At 38.2% G+C, this 6,000-nt stretch overlaps 1 protein-coding gene across 13 annotated transcripts in view, besides 1 other annotated feature; it reads left to right on the top strand.

Annotated features, from left to right (window-relative positions):
* Window positions 1,720-1,869: a silencer, noted in NCBI's record as "silent region_20911". NCBI's record gives its function as "represses an Ori minimal core promoter by ATAC-STARR-seq in GM12878 lymphoblastoid cells {active_cell/tissue: GM12878}" and the evidence as "EXISTENCE:reporter gene assay evidence [ECO:0000049][PMID:35858748]".
* Window positions 1,893-6,000, top strand: part of HDX (highly divergent homeobox) — a 184,576-nt gene continuing 180,468 nt past the window's right edge. For 11 of the 13 annotated variants that reach the window (XR_001755653.2, XR_001755652.2, XR_938392.2 and 8 more), the window contains exon 1: window positions 1,893-2,004. The gene's annotated coding sequence lies outside the window, so the exon portion shown is untranslated. Of the gene's footprint in view, window positions 2,005-2,834; window positions 2,918-6,000 lie in introns of all 13 variants that reach the window. The other 2 variants (XM_047441828.1, XM_011530863.3) reach the window with 1 other exon arrangement.

The raw sequence follows: 6,000 nt of genomic DNA, 5'->3' as shown, positions 1-6,000 counted from the left end.
GAATCCTCCACTTTACCCATATAATTCCTTCTTTGAAAGTCTCATATTTCATCATTTTTAACACCCTAATCTAGGGGTGTGTCACCTAGAAGCTGGGTTAGCATTACAACTGTCTAACTGGTCTCTCTCACTCCAGCCTATCGCAATGTTACTGAAAATGCAAATTAATGACTTGAAAAATGTGCTTTCAGTCATTCATTCAATACGTACTTACTTATTTGTCTACTTTGTATTTAGAGGCTTTCTAGATTTGAGGGATATAATAATAAACAAAACAGACAAAAATCCCTGCCTTCATAGAGCTTACATTTGCAATAACTAAATATATAAAATACATTTAATAATAATAAATACTATGAAGAAAAATGAAACAGAAAAAAGGGTATAGAGAGTGTTAAGGATATCACAATTTTAAATAGGAAAACCTCTTTAAAGAGGTTGCATTTGAGCAAAGATTTCAATCAAGTGATGGAGTAAGTCATATAAAGATCAGACAGTACAACAGTACAGGGTCACTGCTGTGGACATGAGCTTGACTTGTTTGAGAAATAGAAGATTAATATATTTGTGAATTAGTGGCTGAGTGACAGGAGGTGAGGTCAGAAAGATGGCGGAGGCCAGATCATTTAGGGCTTTGAGGACATGGTAAGAAATCTGCATTTTATTGTATATGTGAAAGGAAACCATTGAACAATCTGAAGTTGAGCATAATCTGGCTTTTGTTTTAAAAAATCACCTAAACTCCTCTGTAGATAATTGACTATAGAGGATTGAGGTCACATGCTTTATGGCTTTTGGTGGCTTTTAATCAAATAAAAGTTATCTGCCTATTTTCAAAGGCTTTTATTATTAGCCAATTCCATCTACCACTAGTCCTCAGCATATGCCCTCTATTTGTCAAGCTGATTTCATCATGGGCTTCCTCACATCATATGAATTTATACGTCTCTACCTTTGCCTATCTTTCCCCTTTAAGACGGTGACTTCCATCTGCTCTTATCCACCATTCAAGAACCATCTCAAGTTTTAATTACATAAAATGCTTCCCTGACTTTTCACCTCACTGATGTCTCCAATAATTAAATAATGTAGCTCTTGTCTGTAGTTAATGACTGAGCACATGATCATGTACTTTATTTTATTGTTGTGAATATTTACTGTGTGCTAATCTTGTCTTCCAAACGATGTTGCAAGTTCTATGATAGCAGAGAATCAATGAATTCTATATCTCTCATGGCATCCAGCAAATCTGGGAAGTATATCAAGTGACTGTTAAATGATGTAACATGTGGCTTGACTTCTTTTCTGGAATGGTATAATGGTGATCACCCAAGAAGCTTCTGCCAGAATAGGAATTGAGGTTGGATGAATAAAAACCATAGTTTCTTTCCTCAGTCATCAGAGCCAACCAGTCACGTATAATAGTACACTTGCTTTTACTGTAAAATTCTAAAGGCTCGATGGACACCTTATTGATTTTAGTAAAACTGAATATTTACCTGTCAATCGAACACTGACCACAAAGGACTGTATTTCCTTATGCTATCATTTGATTTTGGCAGCATGTAACAATTTTGTTAAAACCCAATGTCAAGTTGGAAGGCCAGGCAGCACCTGCTCAAATGGCTGGCATGTAACTACTATAGTCACAGGGATGCTCGGTGTTCACAGCTATTCAGGAAGGTATAGAGAGCCCTGGCCGTAGATGTAGCTGATTTGTGTGAGGAAGAGGCAGTCCAGTTGCAGGCAGCCATCTCTCTTCCCCCCTCCCAACTCTTGGGTTCTGGGCTGAGGCCAGGGACTGTCCTGAGCTGATCGCAGGCTCCCATTGGCCGCTGTCTTTTGTGACGTCACGATCATGATGAGAATTGATGATCGGACACGCTGATTTCATTGTCTGAAGCGGCACTGGAGACCCAGGAAAAATCTCGCTGAATCCGCCTGCCCCAGCAGCGGCCTGATCTGGGTTCCGCTGATTCCTTTCGTAACCGCACCACACCCGAGGTAAGCACTCAACACTAAGTGGGTGAGAAGGGCGAAGGAGGGAGGGCAAAGCACCGGGATAATGCTTTTCCTAGTTTGGGGCGAGGTTGGGGGTGGGGGGGTCCATAGGTTCCGTGGCCTAAACAGGCAGACAAAAAACTGGTGCGGATCCTAGGGAGCCAAGTGCCTCTATCCTCCTAGCGAAGGCTGGCGGCTGAGTGAGATTAGAAACGAGCTGCGGATAGGGATACAATGGGGATTGCCAGAGAGCGAAGGACCTTGCTCGGAGAGAGAGCGATGTTTGGGACGCGCTTCTGGACGGGTAGTAGGAGGAAGTGGCGCCTCTGCCTCCGAAGAAAGGAGGGGATTGAATTCTACCACTTCTAGATTTCACTGGACAGTAGATTTCTCACAGCCCTACTCAAAGGCACTGAGAGCGTAGCGCCTGCGCATTAGCACCTTGGTGGGGGCGGGGTGGGTCACTGTGAGGAGAATAGGCGTGGAGTTTGCACAGGCGCTGTTTCGGTTTCACTGGAAGAGGTGGGGCTGAGCCATTTCTGTGCTGAATTTGGAAAGTAGAGACCCAGGGAACATCCCAGGCCTTGTGATGTTTCAAGCACCAGTTGATGGGGAGAGATCTGCCATTTAGTTTAAACTGGCCTACTGAGTAAATCCAGCTTCAAAATGAGCCTTATAAATTTGAGAAGGCACATTCTAAATTTCCAGATATTAGATGTTGAATAACGGAATGAACTCTAGAAGAATTTGTGAAATAGAAGTTTATCAGATAAGAAACTGTTTGGAAAAATAAACACTAATTATTCAAATGAATCTAACTTTTAATCTTAAAGGAGCTCTGATTTGAGGTGACAATGATTTTGAACCTTAAATTCTTTGGAAAGACTCAGAATGAAGTCCATTGTGGAGGCTCAGAGTAAGAAATTTTCCTTTCTTGCCTTTTTCTCTTCTTGGGACAATCTCTTATAAATATTTAGTCTCCATATCAAGTTTGGTGCTGAGTCCATCTTCTTCCTCTGTGTCTCTGCTAGAATCACTGAAGTCAAATATTATTTTGAGAAGCCCTTTCCCGCACCCCTTCATTGGGAAGGCTGTTATATTACTTATATTAAGGCTTTTATTACTCAGCAGTTGTGGGGAACAATGAAGAACAACCTGCCTGTCTATTATTGATGAATAGATTGTACAGTATTGTTATTAATTGCCCTCCACAGTCTGATCATAGACTCCTGACAATTTTACAGAGGAATCTGGATTTTTCTCTATTTCTCATAGTTAAGGGATTATCAAGTACTGGTAAATTTTCCTTTGAAAGCCTTCTCACACGTTCCTCCTTTACAATCTAAATTCTCATCAGCACCCATGTAGTCACTGTAGGAGCTTCCTAGGCAGTCTTCACCTGTGCCCCAAATCCTTAGTGGTCTGTGAACACTTCTTTCAACAAATCACTTTCTTTAACCAACATATTCTTGGCCCCTTATTTTCTATTGTTTCAAGCCTAATTCCACCCGAATTTTAAAGAACTTCATAATCTGGCCTCATTGTAATGCAGGAGCCTTATTTTCCTTTATTCTTCAGGGCACAACTCTCTTTAATGTTCAGTTAGTGAGAACAATCTACCTTTATATCTTTGCTCCTTATACCATTACTGTCCCCTCCACGTAGGATGTCCTCCTTCTACATAATTCACATCTTACCCACTTTGGAAACTCAACTCAAATTCCACCCCTCCACAAGTGCCTTCCAAATTAATCTAATGCAAGTGTTACTGACCTCACTTTTCCTAGAATTCCCACGTCAATTATTGTCTTTGTTAGTTGCTTGTAGGCTGCTTTGTATTGTCTCCTTTGTTATTGTTGTTGTTGTTGTTGTTGTGTGTGTGTGTGTGTGTGTGTGTGTTAGACTGGAATCCTCAAATGGATTTTAAACCCTTCCTTAAGGGTTGGGACCATGACATCCATTTCTTTATTATCTGCCCATAGCACCTAACTGAATAATCAAAATAGCTGTAGCTATATATGTTCTTTTTTTTTCCCCTAGAAAACAATTTCCTGGGAAATGAAGCAGTATTTTTATAGAGAGAACTGTATACATGTGAAAGCTTATTCATCGTTGGTCAGGCAAGAGACCCTCCAATGACTAAATAAACCTGAATTTAAGTCAGAGGAAAGAAATTACACAGATCTCTATTTACTGGGTGGCCTTCAAATATATCATGTCCTCATAAACAAGATCAAGGGAGGGAACACTATCCCAGAAGAGGTTCTGTCTGTAATCTTCTCAGTTTGAAAAATACTAAATAAAGAGGTATTCCACTGTTCTATACTTCTCTTTGGTGACATTGTATCATGTATCTTTAAAAATACACAAATTACTCACTTTTTATTACATTTTATCTACAATTGCTATCTTATATTGATTATTCCTGATAGTTTTCATGTGTACATCTCTTGAATCAGAGATGACCTTTGTGATGGTTGTTACAATTGCTATTATATATTGGTTGTCACTTTCCTATCCTTCAGGCTTCAAATTGCATTCTTCTGCAGAGCTCGTTTTACTTGAATGACAGTGTGATTATGGTTTCATACAGAGGTTTTTCACATATTTCACTTTGGCTCCTGCCTCACTTTGAGGTACCATCCCAATATCACATAAAAGTTTTTGACTTAGAAACATAGATTAAAAGCAGTCTGAAGGGTGTTTTAACCTGTAAATTAGAACATCATTATTGTAGATAATTGTAAGTGAACCATGAATGTTATTCATTGTAAGGGAAAATCCTTTGACCTTTTCTCTGATTACCTATATTATATGAAACTCCTCAAAGCTGTTTTAGCTTATAGCCAGCTTTCATAGTAATTGAGACTTTCCTAGACATTTACACATAGACCAATAGAGAAAACTGATCAAACTTAAGCAACTCTGGATAGAATGTGGTGCTTAGAAATATGCTGTTAAGTTTAGAGAGCCCAAAATAAAATATGAAAAAAACTGAGTGTGACATGCGTTTTTTAAGGCTTGTTTTACAATTTCTATCTGGGAGGATGACATTGGGTTTTCTCATTTAAGTTGTAGAGTTTAAGTTGGGAGAGATTTTATAGTGATAAGCCAATCCCCTTATTTTACAAGTAAAGAATCTGAAGCCCAAAGAAGTGAGGTACTTTACTAGCATTAATAAACACTAATATTTATTAAGCACTTAGTGCCAGGCATTGTGCTAAAAACTTTATATATCTTATTACATTTAAACATCACAAAATCTATATGAAAGAGTGTATAGTATTATTTCCCATTTTACAAATGAGAAAACATATTTCAAAGCAGTTGATTTTCCCAGGACCACACAGCTACTATACGTCACAGTCAAGACCCAATCACGGGTTTGACTTCTAATCACCAAGTTATGCTTGACTAAGGTCAATATAATGAACTTTTGGCAGAGCTTTAGCTAGGATCTAAATCTCTGGAATCTGAGATGTGTGTGTGTGTGTGTGTGTGTGTGTGTGTGTGTGTGTGTGTGCATACATTCCATAAACACCATATTACTTCTACAAAGTTAGAGATTTGTAAGATTACCCAAATAAATGGTGTATACCTACATTTGTTTTAGATATTTTATTAAAACACACTCTCTCAGTCTTGATTGAAAAAATATAGCATGAAAATTTGCATAAAATACATTTTAAAAACATTTATTTCCTTCTGCTTTTAAAATTGTATCATACTTCCAGAGGGAATTATATTTTTATAGTGTAATCTCCAACAGAATAAATAAAATTTGAATTGTTGATTTTTATTTTATTGTGGAGTCAGTGAGCTAAAACTGAAATTGGTGGTTTCTTAATATACTTGTATTGAGTACACTATATCTAGGTACACTAGTTTGGGAGCAAATATCGATAATTCTAGAGATATATTATGCATAAGAAGGGAGCTTGAGACACTGGCATATTCAGAAGCTATCACTGATATCCTAATACCTTTCCATTCTGCATA

This window comes from Homo sapiens, chromosome X (genome assembly GCF_000001405.40).
Source record: "Homo sapiens chromosome X, GRCh38.p14 Primary Assembly".
Lineage (NCBI taxonomy): Eukaryota > Metazoa > Chordata > Mammalia > Primates > Hominidae > Homo > Homo sapiens.
The sequence above is the reverse complement of the archived record's forward strand: the minus strand, read 5'-3'. Positions and strand labels throughout refer to the sequence as shown.